Source organism: Homo sapiens, chromosome 8 (assembly GCF_000001405.40).
Source record: "Homo sapiens chromosome 8, GRCh38.p14 Primary Assembly".
NCBI classification, from domain to species: domain Eukaryota; kingdom Metazoa; phylum Chordata; class Mammalia; order Primates; family Hominidae; genus Homo; species Homo sapiens.
In genome coordinates this window covers 11,027,724-11,049,314 of record NC_000008.11, presented here as the reverse complement: position 1 = coordinate 11,049,314, position 21,591 = coordinate 11,027,724, and the positions used below count along the sequence as shown (strand labels likewise).

The 21,591-nt window shown below is 48.3% G+C and overlaps 1 protein-coding gene and 1 non-coding gene across 3 annotated transcripts in view; both read left to right on the top strand.

Moving 5' to 3' along the window:
• XKR6 (XK related 6) overlaps positions 1 to 21,591 on the top strand; it is a 305,789-nt gene that overhangs the window by 152,519 nt on the left and 131,679 nt on the right. The gene's annotated exons all lie outside the window — the stretch shown is intronic.
• MIR598 (microRNA 598) lies at positions 14,013 to 14,109 on the top strand. The gene has a single exon (NR_030328.1). It is a non-coding gene; the product is annotated as a microRNA 598 (primary transcript).

The window sequence follows — 21,591 nt, the reverse complement described above, 5'->3', positions numbered from 1 at the left end:
GAACAGATAGAGGTTTTGGCTACTCTCCAAACAAGAATTAAAAGAGGCAGCAGAGATGCCAAGAGCAGGTTTCATTAAGCCAGTGGGTGCCTTGCAGCCATTAGAACCCCAGGTGCCTTTTCCGAGAATAAGCTGCTCTGCAGTGCAAAGGCAGACAGAGCATCCATTCCAATGGGCTCCTGAGCAACCCAGAACCCAGAGCCCTTTCCTCCCCAGAAAAGCTTCTTGCCACCAAGGCCAGCCACTTCAGCAGGGTGACCTCCAGAATACCACCTAGGGCATAGTCACGGGATCTTGTTCCGACTCGTCTTCAGCAGACACCCTGTTGATCTCATTGATAAGAGCCTGCAGCCACCTCAGCCACTGTGCACCTGGGCAGCCAGCCAAGCCCACTTAATTGACAGACAGGCGGGGCCGGCTGGAGCGAGTGGGCAGGACAGTGCCATGGGGCAGGGGTAAGGAGGGGGAGGCCAGCGAGAGGACAGAGCAGAGGCTGTAGGCCTGGCCCAGAACCACGCAGAGCCAGGGGCAGCGCCAGGCATCAGCCACCGGGAGGTCTGGGGCTTCACAGGACAGGGGGTAGCACAAACCCTGCAGACCAGAGGCCTGCGGAGTCCAGAGTCACCCAGGAAGGGGACTCAGCCTCCAGGGCTCCCTTCATTTGTAGAGACCCCTGGGCTAGCTCTTCTCCAACCTCACCGTGCATCCGAATCCTCGGGGGCCTTTAAAAATACACATCTCCAGGTTTCGCCGAGGCACTCAGACACGTAGGAGTTGGTCCCAGGAACCTGTATTTTTAACACACGCTCAGGTGTCCTTGCTGTCTGGTATTGCTATACATATTAAGAGACCTCGATATGCGTTTCTGCAAGTCTGAAACCATTTCATCAAAGGAGCACAGGGACTCTGGTGGGCGGGGCGGGGAGAGAAGGCAAGGCCTCCAGAAAGCAGTAGTTTCCCTCCCCCTGGCGAGAAGACCTGAACTTCCTTCCTGAGTCGTCTGCCCTAAACAGCTTGATGTTTCAGAACTGCAGGCAAAGAATGTTGAGAAACAAGGGCCGGATTCCCCTTGCTGATGGTGTGAGGTGACCTGTCGGTGAGATACGGAAGTTCAGCCCCATAGTGTCTAGGCGCTAGGCTTCCCCAGGGCTGAGTGTTACCAGCTCAACAGGTGGCTTTCTGGCTGCTGCAGTGACTGAGCGTGGGGGGTGTGTGATCGAAGGATACAGACAGTCCCCTTGTTATCACTCTGGGTTGCTAAAGAGGTGGAGCTATTCAGGGTTGCAATCAGGAGAACACAGGCGCTGGAGGCTGACATGTCTGTGTTTGAGAATTTTCTTGGCAAAGCAGGTAACTCCTCTAAGTTTAGAGTCCCCATCTGTAAAACTGGGACTTTCAACACTAATCAGAAGGTTGTAAAGATTAACTGAAAGAAGTGTCATCCACTGAGCCTGTTCCTGGGATCATGTAGTGAGATTCAGTAATCGCATGTTCACTGTTGTTAAGGCCAATTTTTTTATGGTAAAATACATATATTAAATTTACCATTTTAACTATCTGTAAACGTATCGTTTGGTGGCATTAAGTACACTCGCGCTGTTGTGCAACCATCACCACTATCCATCGCCAGAACTCTTGCATCTTCCCAAACTGAAGCTCTGTCTCCATCAAACAACAACTCCTCATGCCCCCTTTTCCCAGCCCCTGGCAACCCTCATTCTACTTTCTGTCTCTATGAATCTGGCTGTTCTAGGGACCTCACAGATGTGGAATCATGTGGAATTTGTCTTTTTGTGACTGGTTTCTTTTTCATGGAAAATGGGCCAATGACATATTTGAAATGTAGTTTATATTTGCATTAAAGCAGTAAATGTACACAGTAGTGGAATCACCATCCTACTCGTGAAGCCCATGAAAGCCACATGGTATCCCTGATGAAAAATTGAAAAATAAAATATTCTTAACATATCTTTTGTGTTACAACTGGTTTCATGAACTCTGCTTCCCCTCCCAGCTTTATTGAGGTGTAGTTGACAAAAGGAAACTATGTATTAATGGTGTACTGTGTGATGTTTTGATACACTGTGTATACATTGTGAAATGATTCCCGCAAGTAAGCTAATTAGTGTAGCTTCCCCTCGCATAGTTATTTTTTTCTTGCTGTGAGAATATTTAAGATCTATTCTCTTAGTAAATTTCAGGTAGACAATATGTTATTAACTATAGTCACCATGCTGTGCGTTAGAGCTCCAGAACTCTTTCATCCTGCCGAATTGAAACTTTGTGCCCTTTGACCAACACCCGCCCCCCATTTCCCTTCTCCCCAGCCCCTGGCACTCACCGTCCTCCTCTCTGCTTCTATGAGTTTGAGTTGTTTAGATTCCACACATAAGCGAGATCATGTAGTATTTGTCTTTCTGTGCCTGGTTTATTTCACTTAGCATAATGTCCTCCAGGTTCATCCATGTTGTTGCAAATCACAGGATTTAAATATCTTTTAAGGATGAATAAGACTCTATTAAACATTTATCTATGTATCTATATCTTTATCTGTCTCAGATTTTCTTTGTCTATTCATCCATGGATGGCCACTTAAGTTGATTCCTTATCTTGGCTATTGTGAATAAGCGGCTGGCTTATTTCACTTAGCACTACATCTTCAAGGTTTATCATGTTGTAGCATGTGTCAGAATTTCCTTATTTTTTATAACTGAAAAATATTCTGCTGTATGTAATAACCACATTTTCTCTATCCATTCATCCACCGGTGAACACTTGAGTTACTTCTACCTTTTGGCTACTGTGAATAATGTTGCTAGGAACATTATAATGTTCATATAAAGGGTACAAATATTTCTTTGGGTCCCTGCTTTCTTCTTTTCTTTTACTCTCTTTCCTTTTCTTTTTCTTCTTTTGAGACAGAGTCCCACTCTGTTGCCCAGGCTGGGATGCAGTGGTACAACCTCGGCTCATTGCAACCTCTGTCTCCTAGATTCAAGTGATTCTTCTGCCTCAGCCTCCTGAGTAGCCGGGATTACAGGCACGTGCCACCATGCCCAGCTAATTTTTGTATTTTTAGTAGAGACGGGGGTTTCACCATATTGATCAGGCTGGTCTCAAACTCCTGGCCCCAAGCAATCTGCCCACCTCGACCTCCCAAAGTGCTGGGATTACAGGTGTGAGCCACCGTGACCAGCCTGAATCCCTGCTTTAAATTCTTTTGGGTATATACCCGGAAGTGGGATTGGATTATATGGTAATTCTCTGTTTAACTTTTTTGAGGGACTGCATACTGTTTTCTACAGCAGCTGCACCACTTTACATTCTCTCAACAACAGCGCACAAGGGTACCAGTTTCTCTGCATCCTTGACAACACTTGGGATTTTCTGTTATTTTGATAACAGCCATCCTACTCTGGCTGTGGCTATTGTCTCTTTTCTTTTTCTTTTATTTTTTAACTTACAAGTGATGAGACACAGTAAACGTTTACTTTCTTCCATTTTCCTTGTGGTAACCCCCAAGTCACACCAGTGCACTGCCTCTGTGGTGGAGACTGTGGAAATTCAATAAGGAAGGGAGCAGGAGAAAGATAGGAACAGGAGAAAGACCTGATGTGGTTGGTGTTGTGGAGTTTTCATGATGATGGCTAGACTCAAGCATCTTCTCCGAGCTGTCCGCAACACTCAGCACTATACACACATTGTTTAATTTAACCCTCCCAATAATTCTAGGAGGTCAGTAGTAGTATTATCTCTGTTTTATAGCAGAGGAAATGGAAGATTAAAAGAGAAAATAGTTTTATAACTAGTCACACAGACCCTAAGAAGTAGGAACCTAGATGGTGATAGCTGCCCATCCTCCCCTCTGGCATTATTGGGACAATCAAAATCAGATTGATATATTTAATATCTTTAAGAGTGGCTTGAGGCCATGCACAGTGGCTCACACCTATAATCCCAGCACTCTGGGAGGCCAAGATGGGTAGATCACTTGAGGTTAGGAGTTCGAGACCAGCCTAGTCAACATGGTGAAACCCTGTCTCCACCAAAAAATACAAAAATTAGCCAGGTCTGGTGGTGTGTGCCTGTAGTCTCTAGCTACTCAGGAGGCTGAGGCAGGAGAATCACTTGAACCTGGAGGCAGAGGTTGCAATGAGCTGAGATCGTGCCACTGCACTCCGGCCTGGGCGACAGAGCGACACTTCCTCAAAAAAAAAAAAAAAAAAAAAAAAAAAAAAAGAGTGATTTGAGGGTGGAAATGGTAACACAAAGGGCAAATAAGGGAATGTTACAAGTAAGCAAAGATCACTGGAGTTGAGCTTAGAAAGATGTTGTCTTTCAGCCTGCTACCTATCTTCTCTAAGCCTTCATTTTCTCATCTGTAAAATGAGAAAATTGGCTGGGTGCAGTGGCTCACGCCTGTAATCCCAGCACTTTGGGAGGCCGAGTTGGGTGGATCACAAGGTCAGGAGTTCAAGACCAGCCTACCCAACATGGTGAAACCCCGTCTCTACTAAAAATACAAAAAATGAGCCCAGAGTGGTGGCATTCGCCTGTAGTCCCAGCTGCTTGGGAGCCTGAGGCAGGAGAATCACTTGAACCCAGGAGGCAGAGGTTGCAGTGAGCTGAGATCATGCTATTGCACTCCAGCCTAGGTGACAGAGCAAAAAAAAAAAAAATCAGAAAATCATTACCCTGCCTGCTTATAAGACAGCGTTGTTGGGAGGATGATCTGAGGGAATATATGTAGATGTGTTTGCCATAAAGTACACTTCATGCTGACCTTGGCGATGGAAGGGCCCCAGGTGTGTCAGCTGAAAAATCACACAATTGATGAATTTAGAAAGGAGAGCTTTATTTCTTAAGAAGGAGATCGCAAACTGCAGGCGGGAAGTGCAACCACTGGTTGAAAACCAAAAGCAAGGACTTTTTTGCTGAAGGGGTTGGCTGAGAATACATATTCAACAGGTTCTGGGAGGAGCTATGAATATTCATGAAGGGGGAATGCATGCACGCATAGTAAGCAAACATGCACTTTATGTTCCATGTTCATTTTTGGTTGGAGACTTAACATTTAAATGCATTACAGTTAGGTTCTGTACGTTAAAAGGTGAGGCAAGGACATGAAGGCCCTCAGTGCTCAGCCTCTGTAAACCAGCCAGAACCAGTCCACGGTCAGTGGTCTTATCAGGAGAAAGTTACTGAAATCAGTCTCTTGTCCAATCAAAGCTGTAGTTACAGCTGGTGGAACAGGGGTTCGGTTAGTCACTGTCTGGTGGAGCTGCAAGTGGTTTACTATTGCTTATCTTGAGGCAAGTGTTGTTTAGCTGCTGGAGAAAAAGAAGAACCCTGTGACAGTTAGAGCTTAGTTGATTCTTTAAGTGTAGGTGTGCCTGACTTCACCATTGCCTGCACGGCCTTAGGTCCTGTTTATAATTGGGTATCTTATCACCACAGAGTCTGTTCTGTCAGTCTTATGATCTCTGCTTTGGCATTAATGCTGGTCAGTTGTTTCTAGTGTTTAAATGAAAACGGGAGTATGTATAATGAGGTGCATCCAACCTCCTGTCCTGTCATGGGCGGGAACTTAGTTTTTAAGATTTCTCTGGGGTTCCCTTGGCCAAGAGGTGGGTGGGACCATTCAGTGGTTTGGGAGGCTTAGGATTTTATTTTTAGTTCTCAGGTGGGAACACCTTTTCATTCAGTAGAGATTTCCTGGACTGACTCTGCCCAGGGGAAGTGCAAGACCCAGTGCCTGCCCTCCAGGGGCTCTGCAGCTGCTGGGGCAGAGACTGAGGCTCAGGGGACGTAAAACAAACTCCTCAAGGTCAAACGTGAAGGAGGGACTTCCAGAGAGTCCTGGGTAGGTAAAGGAGGAAGAGGTCAGGGTCGGCTCCCTGAAGGAGCAGGAAGAGGAGGCTGGGTGGCCCAGGAGGAGATGGACGATTTCCTAGACTTGCAGCCATCCAGCCGCTTAGCTCCAAGCATGTGAGCTGAGTTCCTGCTGCAGGGGAGACTCACTCCCAACACCCCACCTCGCATCCTCACCAGTGTTTGAGTGCTCACGCTAAGAGTGTTCATCTTTTTTTTTTTCTCTTCCTCTTCAGTAAAGACGCATTGGGCATATATTATTTATGATAATTAAGTTAATATTTTATATTGTATAGGTTTAAATATTTTATCCTCCCATAATGCATGGAGTTCCTAGGGAGCCCTGCGTGTTCTGAGTACTCTGTGGAGGTCTCCAACCAGGACCCCTCTGGGTGGGCCCCAGCCCCCCAGGGCTGGCAAGAGCACTACAGCAGCACAAGCCTGGGGTCCACCACTGCCCTGGGCTCGTGGGGCTGGCCAATCTCAAGTCTCCTGCACCCTGCCTCACTGAGTTCCAGAGACCTGGCAGGAAGAGGAGTGCAGGGAGGACTCTTCTGGGCCTAAGTGCTAGGGAGGCCCAGGGAGCTGCCTTCCCCATTTCTGCCAAGGCAGGGGCCATGGAAGGGTCCACTGCTGGGATCCAAATGTTAGTCCAGGTAGCACATCCCAGATCTGGGAAAATCCGAAATCCAAATGCTCCAAAATCTGAAGCTTTTTGAGCACCCACATGATGCTCAAAGGATATGTTCATTGGAACATTTCAGATTTCAGATTTGGGATTTTTGGATTTGGGATGTTGTACTAATCCATTTTCATATTGCCATGAAGAAATACCCAAGACTGAGTAATTTATAAAGAAAAAGAGGTTTAATGGACTCACAGTTCCACCTGGCTGGGAGGCTTCACAATCATGGCAGAAGGCAAAGAAGGAGCAAAGTCATGTCTTACATGGTGGCAGACAACAGAGTATGTGCAGGGGAACTGCCCTTTATAAAACCATCAGATCTCATGAGAACTCACTCACTATCTTGAGAATAGCACGGGAAAAATCTGTCCCCACGGTTCAGTTACCTCCCACCGGGTCCCTCCCATGACATGTGGGGATTATGGGAGCTACAGTTCAAGATGAGATTTGGGTGGGGACACAGTCAAACCATATCAGATACTCAACTAGTATAATGCAAATATTTCAAGATAAAAAAAAAAAAAAGGAATCCTAAACACTTCTGGTCCCAAGCATTTTGGATAAGGGAGACTCGACCTGTGATAAACTGCCACAGTCCTGCTGTGATGTGAAGAGTGAAGAAGGCAGAACAGTATGTTTAGAATGCCTCCTATTGGTAAAAACGGGAAAATCAGACAGGTGCATGTGTACTTGCTTATTTAATCATAAAGGACCACTGCAAAATTACAGTTTGGTGTGTACCTTTGGGAGGCCAAGTGGGGTGGGAAGAGGACTTTATACACACACTTATATATATACAGTACAATGAGTGTGGGTGTGTATACATGTGTGTGGTTTACATTTGCATTTGTGTGTGTTGTGTTTATATATGTATGTGTGTGTGTATATGTGTTGGTGCAGAGAGAAAACTTCCTGAACTGTATCAATGTATTAGACCATTTTTAATGTCTTATTCCACCAGTAGCGTAAGGTCCCAGGATTTTCCCTATCCTGGCCTGGGCCAGATGGCAGAGGGGTTTCTTTCGAGCCTCTTTGAGCCCCCAGGGCCCTGGGCCCCTCTCCTCTTCTCCCTCTAGTCCCACCTAAGATGACCCACAACCCCACTACCCACGTACCAGCAGTTGTTAACTTTTTTGGCTCCTCCCTTTGCATCTGCATCATCAACATCATTCCCAAAACCTAAGTTGATTTTTTTTTTTTTTTGAGACAAAGTCTTGCTCTGTCACCAAGGCTGGAGGGCAGTGGCAAGATCTTGACTCACTGCAGCCCCTGCCTCCCAGGTTCAAGCGATACTCCTGCCTCAGCCTCCCGAGTAGCTGGAATTACAAGCACGCACCACCACGCCCAGCTAGTTTTTGTATTTTTAGTAGAGACGGGGTTTCACCATGTTGGCCAGACTGATCTCAAACTCCTGACCTTGTGATCCGTCTGCCTTGGTCTCCCAAAGTGCTGGGATTACAGGCGTGAGCCACCGCGCCCGGCCTGATGTCATGCTCTTTGCACAATGTTTTGTTCTGCTTGTTTTCCCTTAATGCTCTGTTACAAGCATCATCCAAGTTTTTATAAACTCCTCATGAATAACATTTCTAAAATGCGTTTCAGGGATGTACGGTACACTGAGCTGTCCCTAACGTCTCAGTGGCATCTCTCCTCTGATCCTGATGGGGGTGGCAGCCACTTCCACCAATGCTGTTTGAGAGGCTGGAATGGGCCATTGTCCATAAGGTCCACATTGCCCCTAGGTCCCTGCAGCCCCCACCTAGCACGGAGGAGATGGTCAAAGCATTTGCTTCAGTATCTGCCCGATGTACGTAGATACCTGCTTCTGGGAGTCTTCTTCAGGCCCCCAAACTGAGATTTGGTTTTCCCTGAGTTGCCCCTGTGAGAGAGACGCTACAAGCAATGATTCTGTTTTACAGGAGGCCATTAGCTACAGCCAGAGTGTTAATGTCCCCCAAATGCATGTGTTGACATCCTAACCCCATGTGCTGGTCTTAGGAGGTGGGGGTTTGGGGGGCGATCAGTCGTGAAGGTGCAGCCCAGTGATGGTGTTAGTGCCCTGATGAGGAGGGTTTGTTCACAGTGAGAAGGCATCGTCTACGAACCAGGAGAGCCCTCACCAGACACCAAATCTGCCTTCATCTTGGACTCCCAAGCCTTCAGAACTGAGAAATGAATTTCTGTTGTTTGTAAGCCTCCCAGGCTGTGGTAGGTTTTGTTTTGTGTTTTGAGACAGGATTGCACGGTCACCCAGGCTGGAGTACTGTGGTGCAATCATGGCTCACTGCAGCCTCGACCCCCTGGGCTCAAGTGATCCTCCTGCTTCAGCCTCCTGAGTAGCTGGGTCTACAGGTGGGTGCCACCCTGTTTGGCTAATTTTTTTTTTTTTTTTTTTTTTTAGCAGACATGAGATCTGCTTATGTTGCCCCGGCTGGTCTCAAATTCCTGGGCTCAAGCAATCCTCCTGCTTCGGCCTCTCAGAGTGCTGGGATTCCAGGCGTGAGGCTGTGGTAGTTTTGAGGGACTGAGGCAGGGCCGGAGCCTTGGGCAGGAAGGGTCCTGTTCCTGCAGGAGTGGAAAGTAGGGCATCGTGGACCTTATGGACAAGGGAGTGGAAGGTCCCCCCGGCCTGGGTCCTTACTGCAAGGTCTCACCCTTCCCAAGGAACTGCCTGGGCCTCCGTTTTCTTCTTGCTTCCTCACCTCCCGACGGTGAGGGAGGCAGAGGGTGGCGGGATGGGGATAGGAAAGTGAGCAATTGCTGGAAGGTGGGAAACCCCAGCCGGGTGGCATAAATAATTCAGCACCTTAGCAGTTAACGAGTTATGCTTTTAAGGCATGGACAGGAAGCTTGTTCCGCTAACGGGCTGATGTCCTTTTGCTCTTTGGAGAGCAGCTGTCCCCGGCGTTCGTAGAGCTGTGCTCGGGCTGCTTCCCTGTGCTTGTCAGGTGGGGGCTGTATGCCCAGGTAGGGCCGGGACGTGCACTTATTCATTTGCAGGTGCATATTCAAGGCCCTACGGTCTCAGCTGCCGTCCTTGGGAAGGGGCGAGTACAGATGGGAATTGGTGGGAGTCCTTGTGGAGGGCGTGGGCCACCAGGCTGGAACTGTTACCGCCGGGCTCTCCCCTCTCGCACCAGAAGGTCTTGTTCCATCCACCCTGGACGTTGGGGCCAGCGCGTGTTGTCTCTGTTCCAAGTTCTTTGGTGGCCCCAGCCATGGGTCCGTCAAGGCCCAATGTCCTCATCTCGGAAGAGAAAAGGCACACAGAAGTTACTCATGGGCAGTGCGCGTCCCTCATCTTGCACACACAGCGTGTCCAGTAAGCAGGGAAAGGCTGGCCTTGGCCTAACCATGGCTGTTGCAGGCCCATCTGAGGCTGCAGAGCCTTCTGTTCCAGGGCTTCATTGCCCAGCCACTCTTTGTAGCTTTCCCAGGGCCTCAATCCCCCCTCTGGTGTTGCTTCCTCCTGCCTTTTGGATCTGCAGTCTCCCTCTTTTCTGTTTCACACCATGAGTGAGATCTGGAGTGGATTTTATGACTTCAGTACATTGGCTGGTGGCCTCCCCTTCGCTTTGCATTTCTAGGGCAGCTGAGTGGGGCGGCGTGTGCTTCCCTTCTTGTCCTCGGCGGTGTGATGACACTACAGGCTTCTTCCTGCCAAAGTCCCCTGAGGTCTCCCTGGCTCTCACTGGGCCTGCGCCACTCTCTGGGGACCATAAGCTCTGAGTGGCAGGGTCTCAGTGCCCACCCGCCCTGCAGCTGGGGGTGGCGTCGACAACTGAGTTGGGCGGTAAGCAGCCCTAGTGGGAAACGAGTGAGTGTAAGCAGGTAGCTAAAGCCTCAGAAGCCCACCTAGCTGCCTCTGGCCAAACTAAGCCAATCTAAATCACTTAAATTTATTACATGCCTGAAGTCGGCCAGGCGCGGTGGCTCATGCCTGTAATCCCAGCACTTTGGGAGTCTCAGGTGGAAGGATCACTTGAGCCTAGAAGTCCTTGACCAGCCTGGACAACATAGGGAGGCATCGGCTCTACAAAAATAAAAAATAAAAAAATTAGCCAGGCGTGGTGGTGAGCACTTGTGGTCCCAACTACTCAGGAGGCTGAGGCAGGAGGATCATCTGAGCCTGGTAGTTTGAGGCTGCAGTGAGCTGTGATCATACAACTGCACTCCAGCCTAGGCGACAGAGCGAGACCCTGCCTCAAACACACACACACACACACACACACACACACACACACACACACACACACACACAAAATGACTACAATTACTTATCTGAGTCCATGAAGTGTACTCTTCCCTTTTCCCCACAATTTATTCGTGCCTCTCCACACAATGTGTCCCTGCTCTCTGATTTAATTATACTTAAAATACCTGTGTGACCTCGAGTGACTCACATGACATCATAAGGACTCAGACTCCTTAACTATAAAATGAGCGGGGTGTCCTAAATTAGTAATTTTCTAACATTTAAAAAGCAGAGACACTTTTTTCTCAAATTAAATCCTACACAAGCTCACCGCTAAACAAGTTAGATACAAGTAACATTTTTCATATAAAGGTTCCCATAAGTTAAAACTTAGAATGTCACTTGCTAGTAAACTTGCAAATGAGAAAAACCGGCCCCTTTCGATGACACAGAAATTTGAAATCAGGGATCAGGGATGGTAGTTAATAGTTTGTCTTAGACATTAGTCTTAGCATTCAATCTTTTTTTTTTTTTTTTTTAGATATATCTGACTCTGTTGCCCAGGCTGGACTGCAGTGGCATGATCTTGGCTCACTACAACCTCTGCCTCCTGGGTTCAAGCAATTCTCCTGCCTCAGCCTCCCGAGTAGCTGGGAGTATAGGTGTGTGCCACCACACCCGGCTAATTTTTTTTTTTTTTTTTTTTGAAACCAAGTCTCGCTCTGTCATCCAGGCTGGAGTGCAGTGGCACGATCTCGGCTCAGTGCAAGCTCTGCCTTCTGGGTTCAAACGAATCTCCTGCCTTAGCCTCCCAAGTAGCTGGGATTACAGGCGCACGCCACCATGCCCAGCCAATTTTTGTATTTTTAGTAGTGACAGGGTTTCACCATGTTGGCCAGGATGGTCTCGATCTCTTGACCTCGTGATCCACTGGCCTCAGCTTCCCAAAGTGCTGGGATTACAGGCGTGAGCCACTGCGCCCGGCCCATTCAATCATTTTTACATGCGTGTAACACAGTATTGAGAAATACAGCATTGAGGCTGGGTGCAGTGGCTCATGCCTGTAATCCCGGTACTTTTGGAGCCGGAGGTGGGTGGATCGCTAGATCCCAGGAATTGGAGACCAGCCTGGACAACATGGCACAGCCCAGTCTCTACAAAAATACAAAGATTAGCCAGTCGTGGTGATGTGCACCTGTAGTCTCAGCTACTCAGGAGGCCTAGGCAGGAGGACGGCTTGAGCCCGGGAGGTGAAGGTTGCAGTGAGCCGAGATTGTACCACCACACTCCAGCCTGGGTGAGAGTGAGACCCTGTCTTAAAAAAAGAAAAAAGTATTAAAATTCTTGATCAACTCATGTAATCACATAAGTGGTGGTTGTGGATGGTAAAAAGTTTTTTTAACAGCTCAACTTATAATTGTTGGGTGAAACAGATGCAGAAATTTGAGAAGTGTTGTGTTATTTCTGTGTCACGTAGCATCACTAAATGATATCCACGCCTCGTCATAAGTATAAGTAGGATCATAATAAATACAAAAACCTGCAGAGGGCACCGACGTTTTCAGCTGGCTTTCATACCCGATCTAGGGGGCTTCTCAAGCAGGGGAGAGCTAACTGAGAGAGCTCGCCAGAGCGGTTCTAGCTCAAGCCAGTGTGCACTGCCTAGGATGGGGCACGCCCCACCCTGTGCTCACAGAATAACACACGCAGCCACCTTCCAGGGAGTTCGGACATGAAAGCGTGACCTAAGTCTGTGGCCCAAGGTGGCCTCCCAGTTGTTAAAATTTGGTATATAACTTAGGGTTCAAGGGCTGTTTTCAAATTGTGGTTTAAAAACACAGTTACGTCAACATAATGAAAATGTGCCTTAAACTTCTGTTGAACCCTCCAAAGAACACTCACCCCCAACTCTTGAGAGCAGTGTTGTTCAGATCTTAGCATGCATCAGATTAAGCATGCTAAATTCTCAAAATTTACTGTGCAGCCACCTGGCTAATTTGTTAAAATGCAGATTCCTGGACCCCACCCAGAGATGCTGATGTAGCAAGTCTGGGGTGGGGCCTAAGAATGTGCATTCCTAACAAGCTCCCATTGATGCTGATGCTGCCGGTAGCAAGATTCACATTCAACGGTTTGGAAACTCTTTGACCAGAGAAGATATCTTTGGGGTTATTCTTACTTTAAATAGGGGCACAGTGGCTTCCTCTAGGTCTCCCACCTCTCATCTGAGACATGAAGAGATTGGATTAGAAACTTTCCTAGAATCCTACAAGCTTGGAAGTGCTTCTCTCTCTGCCTGGTAAGAAGGAACTTCCAGGCTGGGTGTGATGGCTCATGCCTGTGATCTTAGCACTTTGGGAGACTGAGGCAGGAGGATCACTTGAGCCCAGGAGTTAGAGACCAACCTAGGCAACACAGTGAGACCCCATCTCTACAAAAACTAAGAAAAACAATTAGCCTGGTATGGTGGTGGGTATCTGTGGTCCCAGTTACTCAAGAGGCTGAGGCAGGAGGATTGCTTGAGCCCAGGAGGTCAGGGCTGCAGTGAGTTGTGACTGCACCACTGCACTCCTGCCTAGGTGACAGAGCAAGATCCTGCCTCAAAAAAAAAAAAAAAAAAAAAAGACTTTCACAGGTAACTCAACTCAGATTTCTCACATGCATCTGGTCAGATACACAAAGGGGAGCCCTAGATGTAGGTAGAATCAGACCTGCCTTTTTCAGGGAAAAAAATCAGACCTGTGGCATTTCAGGGAAACCACTTACCTCCCTCTCCTCAGTTTCCCCATCTATCACATCAACTCACTAATCTCCTTCCTGCCTCCTCACAGGGATGATGGATCTGAAAATGTGTGAGAAATGACACACCACTGTCTGTACACATGTAAGGAGCTGTTGTAATCAATATCTTTGAAATGCTTATTCATGCAAAACAGGATATTTCAGGTCTCCAAATTCTTCAGCGAGAACTTCGAGATGCAGCTGGGTTCTTGAAGTTCAGCTGCAGAGCAGAACTTGCTCTTAGGCCACTGGGGTTCCTCCCCAGGCCACCCTGGGGCTTCCTCCTCCCTTTATGTAGATGTGATGAGTCCCAGATTACCCCACTTCTTGGATCCTGTTTGGGTGCAGAGATTTGGCCTTAATCTTCTCTCTTTCCTGGAGTTGCACTTTGCCTGAAGTGCAAAGAGCCCCATTCATGATTTGATCTCCTGGCTCCTGCATGGCCAGTGGGGGCCCAAGCTGCCACAACGCAGGAAGATGGCTTGATGATGCTGCTGATGCTGGCGGTGATCCCGATGGTGTGAGCTGGAAATGGGGTGCTACGTCATCGTTGTCATCGTCATCATCATCATCCGAGCAGCCACCAGATAGCTTGCACCCACGCTGGGCTGGGCACGAGACTGGCTGTTTGTCATAGTTTGTCTTTCGACCTCATGGCAGCCCTTTAAGGTAAGTATCATCATCCCCATTTTACAGATGAGGAAACCGAAGCTCAGAAAGAATCAGTAACTGGCCCAGGGTCACACTACTACTAAATGTGTACGCATATGAAATGCAGAGTCTTCAGGGCACTGGCTGGCAGTCTGGCAGTCCCACATCCCTCACCCACCATATGTGGCCTCTCAGGGTTTGGCTAGTACATTAGTATCACACCGCAGGAGAAGCCCAGCTTATGCATCACTGTGAGGGAACAGGCAAGGCTGGCCGGTATGGATGGAGATGGGTGTGCTGGGTGGGGACAGAGCACAGAGCAGACCTGGCCATGGTAAATGTTGCACACACCCACTTCCAACCCATCACCCCTTCCCCATCAGAGGCAGGAGGGAGGTAAGAGAATGGACAGGCCTAGGGAGGGGCAGCTGTCCCAGCAGGGGCCTGACAGTCATGTGCTGGTATCTTTAGGGGACTGAGCTTAGGGACAAAGTTGTCTCCCATTCCATCTAGTTTTAAGCTGCTGTCAGGCTGACCTGTCTAAGGTGCATGTCACTCCCTTCCTGGAAAGCCTGCCATGGCTCTCTGTTGCCCATAGAGTAAAAGCCAATCTTACCTGCCTAGCTTCAGGTACCCATATTCTCTGGCTCCCCCATCCTTGTGCTTCATGTGGTACATTTCACCTGGAGCTCTAGACACATGCAGCTTCTTCCCCTTCCCCATAAATGTCCTGGACATTTTGCCTTGTACCTTTACCCATGATGCTCTCTCGGCCTGTGGCACCCTTCTTGTTATTTTGTTTGGCTAAACTGTGCTCATCTTTCAAAGCTGCAGCTGAAGTGCTGGCTCCTCCATGCCGTCTTCCTGGATCTTTGAGATCCTCCAGCCTCTCATTTCCCACACTGTGCAGCCTTTCCTGTTGAACTCCCTCAGCTTCTCTCTCTTCCCCTTGTCTGGCACTCACCATTCCCCATTATTCTTTTATCTCCTACACAGGCCATGTCTCCTTGAGGCATGCGTTTTATGTGATTTGTTTTTTTCTCATTTAGTTTGGTCGTGGACTGTGCTTTGCAGACAGTTGGCACTTAACACATAAGGTTGACTAAACAGGCTATGCTGGAGCAACAAGGGACTGCTCTTGAAATTTGAGGATGTGGTTATAGTCCTGGCTCTGCCATTCCTGGCTGGCCAAGCTGCTTCTCTGCAGGCCTCAGTTTCCTCATTTGTAAAATGAGAGAGCTGGATTGTATGGGTGGCTCTCCATGTCTAGTATACGGAAGAACTACTTGGGGAGCTTGTTTAAAATGTGTATTTCTGGACCCCTAGGAGTCATAATCTGAAGATACGAGTGGACCTGGGTATCTGCATAATTCACACACACCCAGAGGCTTTCTCATTCAGTTGGTTCTCAGACTACCCTTTGAGCGACTCTGTTTCAGGTCGACTTTGGGGAAAGGCCTTTCTAATTCTAAGGGGCTGGTAGAGCAATGAAGGGAAGCAGAGGTTATGGGGCAGTGCCCATAATGAGTGGGGCAGGGGCCATTAACAGTATCATCACCATCACCATAATCATCATTGTCATCGTGATCTTCTTCATTTTGTTTTTCTTCATTGTCATCATCATCATCATTACCATAGTCATTACCACCATCATCATCATCACCATCATTACCATCATCATCATTACGACCATCATCATCACCATCATCATCATCATCATCACCATCACTATCGTCATCATCATCATCACCACCACCATCACCATCACTATCGTCATCATCATCATCACCACCACCATCACCATCACTATCGTCATCATCATCATCACCACCACCATCACCATCACTATCGTCATCATCGCCATCATCATCATTAGCATCTCCACTGTCACCACCACCATCACCATCGTAACCATCCTTAGCACCACCATCCTCATCACCATCATCCTCACCACCATTACCATCATCATCAACCCCTTCATCACCATTACCATCATCATCATTACCATCGTGATAATCTTCATCCTCTTCATCATCATCATTATCACCATTACCATCGTCACCACCACATTACCATCATCATCATCTTCATCATTATTACCATCATCATCCTTACCATCCTGATCATCGTTTTCATCATCACAACCATCACCATTATCACCACTACAATCACCATCGGTACCATCATCATCGTTGTCATCTTTTTATCTTCATGGTCACAATCACTATCACCATCTCCACCACCAGCAAAGCCACTACTGCTCCTCAGTGCTCATGAGGGGAGGGCCAGTGTCAACACCTTTGTGGGCATTACCTCCTTTAGTCTTCTCAGGAGCCTTGTAAGGTAGGTCCTGAGAGGGCAGGAGGCAGGGCTTGGAGGGGTGTTTGACCATGCCCTGGAGCAGACCCCTAGCTGCAGTCTGCAATGGCCCCAGCTCCTGAGCCATCCTGCTGTTGGAGTGAGCCTGTACCTTCTCTGGTGAGCCTGGGGAGGGCAAACAGTCTTGCCCTCAACTTCCCTCCCTTCTTTCAACACATCTCTATTACAGCCCTGCCTTGTGCCAGACACCAGGTTTGAATTTGCTCCAGGCCAACATTTTTTTCATGTTCACAAAACAAAGATTTTATTTTTTCTTATCCCCAACCTCTTCCTCCCTAATCTAAACTCATGTGAAAATAGCATGCGTAGCTGAGCCTCGGGCCAATTTGTGTCTTTGTACTCAGCACACACACTCTGTCTTTCACACCACAAACAGCTTTGCTCAGGAAAATATGTTTTCTCTCTGCAAAACTGCCATTTTCGGGCAACACATAGAAGGCAAAAAGAAACTATTTCACTTTTTCTTCCCCTGGAAAAACCCACCAAGATGTTGTTTTCCTTTGCTTTTTCTGGAGGGGAGATATTTTTGACAGCTTTCTTCCCTAATCTGGCTCTCAGCCCTGCGTCTGGTGCCAATTTGTAAAAGAAGCAGAAGAAAAACTAGATGAGCAAAGGCAAGATTCTCCCAGAGGGGCAGTATCACCCTAGAATTCAGGAGTAGTAAGGGACCTCTGTGGCAAACCTGTTGCCTGCCCCACGGGGGAGCCCTGTCTTGGGAGCCCTGTCTCAGAAGCCCTGAATGGGGACACGCACACCTGCTTGGAAACAGCTGTGGCTAGGCAGAGGCTGCCTGCTGGGGGGATCTCCCTGTGCACTCATTCAACAGGCATCCTTCCAGACTTCCTTAGGATAGGCTGGGGACTGGGCTGGGTGCTTTGGGATGCAAAAATAAATCACACATGGATTCTGCATCAGTACTTTCCATTCCAGTATAGGAATGAAGATACAGGCAGGGCCATGTGAATAAAGTCCTAGTTTCACTGTCACGTTTATTTTAGCCAGAGTTAGGAGAGGTTTGGAGGAGGTGGTGGCACTTGGGCTTTCTAGCAAATGTCTTCTTCTAGAATGCTGCAATCAGGCCTCATCTGAAATCTGCATGAAACCCATTTGCTCTCCATTCCTTCCCTGGCCCAGCTAAGAGGACAGCCCCTTCTCAGCAGCACAGTCCTGGGATGCTGGCAGATCCCTGCTGAGTGTCCCTGACTCTCCGGCCTTACTGTTCTATTCTCATGGCCTGTCTCCTGGAGTGGTTCTTTCTGCTGTGGGCCCCAAATTCCTGCAGCCAGGAACCCCCGTGGGCTACACTTGTCTTTGCACCTCCAGTGCCTTACTCGGACCTGCCTCAGACCTTATTGCTTACTCTCCTTCTAGTTGAAGAGAACCCACTGGGCTGGCATAAGCCCCAAGGAGAGATCTCAGGAGACCCAAGGCAAGGGTGCAGCTGAGCCGTTGGGTCACTGTGGATTAGGAGATGGAAGTCTAAAATATCCCTCATGCTCTCACGTTCTTGCACGCACTCTCTCTCTTTCTCTATTGCTCTCGCTCTTTATCTAAGCATTTTCTCTCCCAATACCAGATTCTGATTGGCCCAGCTTGGATCAGGAGCCCACCTCTGGTTCAATCAGTAGCAGCCAGTGAACAGGGTCATCTCAAACAAGACCACCATGGTTCCCCTCTGTGAAGGAAGGGAGCAGTTAGCTGGAATGGGCTTGCCGTGAGCCAGGAGAGAGCCAGTAGGTGTGCACTCTACCAACTCTGCCTTTTACTAGCTGTGCCACTTCTCAGAGCCTCAGTTTTCTAATATTTAAAATGGTCATAAGAGTACCTACTTCATAGGGCAGTTGTAACAAATACCACATTTATTGAATGGTAGTGACATAGGTGGTCAATGAGGAGCCTGAGAGGGCAATTCCCTCCTCATTTTGGGGCTTTCAGATGAGGGCATTGGAGTAGGGAGGTTTCACTTCATACCATTCCCACCCTCCACGCCTAGGAGAGACTGGCTGGCTGGCTGGCAGAGGTGAGGAACTACCGCCCATTAGGGGGATGCTGTCCTAGGGGAACCTGCTGCTGTCTACAAGGGATTAACTGAGTCCCTCCCCTCACGCCACCCCCAGGAATGTCCCTGTCACTTGTGGGACCTGAGGTTGTAAGGGACCCTTGCAGAGGTCATTGCTGGTGGGTTGGCACTCGGGCACATGCTAGATTTCTCAAGAGGGAGACTGTTTTGCTGCGGGTTGTCACTAGGCTTACTTTTTACTTCGACATTGATCAAGGATCAAGGGTATGCAATCTGAGGATTGCTGGACACCTCCTCACTGGAGGGCATCCTGTTGGTGAGCAAGAGACACCAGCTACCAAGAGAGGCCTGTTGTTTGATGGCATCTGCAGAGAAACAATGGCAGCATGTACATTCTCAATCTGTGCAGTTTAGAACGATCCACAGATTCTGTGGCTGGCCTTGGGACCATTCTGGAAGGCCTGTTGTCACCCAGATGGAAAGGGAAGGAGGATGAGGGCAGTCCAGGCCAGGGGACTGTATGTGGAGCCACGCGGAGGTGGAAATGAGCCCAACTCGGGCAGGCAACAGAGAGGGGGTGGACTGAGCCAAAGCAGGGATCTGTGCAGAGTGAGCTGGGACAGCTGCAGCTAGGGGTGAGACTCCTGCAGTCTGGGAATACTAGAACAGAGTGCACTTTATCCAAGCAGCAGTAGGGAGCCATAGCGGGTTGTGGAGTGATCTACATGGTTTGGGTGGTATTGCTGTTGCAGATTTGTGTGTATGATGACTGGATGAAGGGAGATTGGAGGTATGGACACCACATAGACTGTTAGAGTTCTTCTGTTATGGATGGAAAATGGCTTCAGCCAAGATCGTGGAGTAGGGATAGAAAGGTAAGAACCCAAGAGAGATTTTGAAGGGGAAATTGAGAATTGAAAATTAGAATAAGAGAGGAGAGTTAGAGTGTCCTGGGTTCCAGGGGACTGGCTAAAGGGCAAGTGGAAATGGCACTGACGTGAGGAAATGGGGGGACTGGCAAGGAGGGACAATGAGGTCGTCTTCTGTCATGGCAAATGTCAGTCAACTGGGCTGCTGTGAAGAAAGCCAGAGACTGGTGGCTCACACAGCAGACACTGATTTCTCTTGGTTCTGGAGGCTGAAGTTTGGGACCAGTGTGCCAACCATGCCCGAGTTCTTGGTGAGGACGGGAGGGCACCACCTCTTCCTGGTAGTATGCTCACATGTCCTTCATTGGTTCATGCACTTCTGTTTATAAGGACAGAAATCCCATCATGGGGGCTACATCCTCATGACCTCATCTAAACCTAATCACCCCCAAAGACCCCATTTCCTAATACCATCACATTAAGGGTTGGAGATTTAACATATGGATCTGGGGAAACACAGTCAGTCCCTACCAGCGAATATGAGGGGTCTGTAAGGGTCTCCTAAAGGGACAACTGATGACAGCATTCAGAGACAAAAGGAAATGGAGATCTTTGCACAAGACCAGGTTGGGTGTGGCATTTGGGGGTCAACAGCCCAGAAGGAAAATTGGGACTATGAGAGTGAAGGGGCCTGGGAGGGATGATAGAGATAGGGCTGGGTTCTTGGGGACAGCTCACATGAAAGAGCAGAGCCTACGACACAGGACTGGGAGGGTCGCTGAGGACTCAGCCAGCATCACTGGTGTCCTAACAGGTGAGGCACCAGGCACAGGGTGGGGGTGACTTCCAGGCGCATGAGGTATTGTCCTGGCCCTTAAAGAGCTCATAGCTAAGTAAGATGGAGAGACAGGTACCAGGGAGCAGCCTAGTCCAGGGGGCCACCTGCAGAGAGTTCACATCCCACCCTGCCACCTGCCAGCAGTGTGACCTTGGACAAGCCACTGAGCACATCTGAGACCCCGTTGTCCTGTGTGTAAATGTGGACTGTCATAGTGCCTGGGCCATAGGGTTGCTGTGAGGGTCAATGGGACAAGATATGGAAAGACCTCTGCCCAGTTCCCAGCTCATATTAAGTGCTTGCCATGAGCTGTAATTATTAGTAAGCGGCAAAGGTACATCCACCAAGTGCCAAATGCTACCTGTAGGAACCCCAGTGAGATTGGATGGCTGGGGTCTGGCCAGAAAGGTGGAGCTCCTACAAACAAGAATAACATGGCAATGAGCTCATCAAAGTAGCATGCCTCTCATTCATTGCTGGTGGGAACTCAAAATAGTACAGCTATTGGTGGTTTTGTACAAAACTAAACATAGTCTTATACAATCCAGCATAGTGTTCCTTGGCGTTTACCCAAAGGAATTGAAAATTATGTCCACAAAAATCTGCATACAGATGCGTATAGCAGCTTTATTCATACTTACTGAAACTTGGAAACAAGCAAGGTGTCCGTCAGCAGGTGAACGGGTAAACTGTGATCCATGCAAACGATGGGATATCATTCAGTGCTAAAAAAGAAATGAGCTACCAAGCTATGAAAAAACATGGAAGAACCTATTCCTAAGTGAAGGACGCCACCCTGAAAAGGCTACTTGGTGTATGATTCCAACTAGATGACATTCTGGAAAGGCAAAACTATAAAGAGAGTAAATATCTCGGTGGTTGCCGGGGTTGGAGGGAGGCAGGGATGAACAGGCCAAGCACAGGGGGTTTTTAGGGTGGTGAAACTGCTCTGTATGTTAATAATGTAATGGTGGGTACAGATCATTATACATTCGCCAAAATTCCCAGAATGTTCAACACCAAGTATGAACCCTGATGTAACCTATGGACTCTGGGTGATGACGATCTGTCAATGTAGATTCATCGATTGCAACAAGTGCACCACTCTGGAGGGGTGGGATGTTGATAATGGGGGAGGAGAGGGGCTTCTAGCCCAGCCTCAAAGGCTGTAACTGTGGGCCTTGTAGGTAGGAGGCGCCAGGGGGAGGGGATATTTTTAAGACGTGTGATACAATGATGACCGTCCTCACTTGTTGAACACACGGAGTACCTACTCTCCTTCTGTTCTTACCCACAAGTAAT